General features: G+C 50.9%; 1 annotated feature.

Moving 5' to 3' along the window:
* Positions 585-1,086: an enhancer, noted in NCBI's record as "H3K4me1 hESC enhancer chrX:92436007-92436508 (GRCh37/hg19 assembly coordinates)". NCBI's record gives its function as "activates a minimal SCP1, AML or CMV promoter by ChIP-STARR-seq in naive H9 embryonic stem cells {active_cell/tissue: H9 hESC(naive)}" and the evidence as "EXISTENCE:reporter gene assay evidence [ECO:0000049][PMID:30033119]".

Genomic DNA, 1,512 nt, shown 5'->3' with positions numbered 1-1,512 from the left:
CAAACAGGGTAGCTCCTCTCTGCAACTGGATTTTCCATCACCTCCAGCTATCAGCAGAGAGGGTAGTTCCTCTCTGTAGCTGGTGGTCCCATCATCTCTCTGCCCTGTTAATCCTCTGACCATCCTCTGCCCTGCTCTAGCTGAGCCCAGGGCTTTTATGGACCTCAGAGGGAAGGAAGTGCATGTCGACTAGTCCATGGGAAGCCATGGGCAGCCATGGGTGGGCCCAGAATAGGCATCACAAGTCCACATTGCAGTTCATGGGACCAGCAACCCGGTCCCCAGCTTTCAGGCCCTCCCTGGCCTGAAGGTGTGCCTGACTGAGGACTCATCCCCTTCTGCCCAGGACTCTGCCTCCCACTGCCATTCAAGGCCCAAGCCCTGGGGCTCGGCCCAAACCCCACTCTGAAATCAGAGCAGGTACAAGGAGAGGAGAGAAGCCAGGCAGCAGGAGCAGACATCCCCAAGGCAGCAGGGATGAGGGGCCCTTCCCAGGCCCCTAAGGATGCATGCTGCAAAGATGCCCAGGTCCTGTACCTGGGAGGGCAGCCACAGCTGCATCAGGGAAGCTCCCACCCCACCAACTTGGAAAGGATGGAGTTCTTGCTTGTCTCCAGCTTCTGCCCGCTCTGTGGGGCAGGAGGCCGGATTCTTCAGCAGCAGGTCAGGTGGGTGCAGCTTCACCCAGGAGGGCAAATTCTGCCTGCTCCAAGAGCACAGGAAGACTCAAATCCACAGCTGCAGTTTGGGTGGTGGTAGTCCTGCCCAGTAGGGTGGGGCTCCTCCCTGCTGTCCAGTGCAGGAGGCTTGGGTTTGCAGCCACAGTTTGGGTGGCTGCAGTGGCACCCAGGAAGTTCCCACCTCAACTCAGAAGGGGCAGGGCTCCCCCCAGCTTCATGGGGTGTGCAGCCCCACCCATGCCTCCTTGCTATAGCTGGTGTGATGGCAGCAGCTACTGCCATCAATTCCCCCTCTGAAGAGGTACACCTAACCACTGTTAGGATAGGAACAATGACTGCTTTTAACTGCCCCATGCTAACAAGGGGCATTGTTTTGGGAAAACGACAGTCAGGTCTCTCTTAGAGGCTTATCTAAGGGTCCCCAGTAAAAGGGAGCCATCATCTGAGGCTCCATTTGCATGACCACTTTGCATGACTATTTAGAGTTTGACGGCCCATCCCTTTTGTCAGTAGTTTATTCACAAAGGAAACAAAAATCTTTCATTGCATGATGATCTTGTTGAAGTAAAGCCAAATTTCACCCTTGCATTAGTCTATTAATGTCAATTCCAATCTTTTAAAATAAAACCTTACATAAAAATCCATCCAATCTTAATCAGTTTGACCATGATGTGAGATTCTTATAAACCTTTTATAACCCTTTACAAAGTTTTGTTCAAGACATGTCAGTGCCTCAAGAAAACCTTGTTGTGTTTTTATTCCAATGTTCAATTTATGGAAAAAAAAAAAACAATAATACCCTTATGAATTTATTCAATATGTTCACACACAG

Source organism: Homo sapiens, chromosome X, assembly GCF_000001405.40.
Source record: "Homo sapiens chromosome X, GRCh38.p14 Primary Assembly".
NCBI classification, from domain to species: Eukaryota; Metazoa; Chordata; class Mammalia; order Primates; family Hominidae; genus Homo; species Homo sapiens.
The sequence above is the reverse complement of the archived record's forward strand: the minus strand, read 5'-3'. Positions and strand labels throughout refer to the sequence as shown.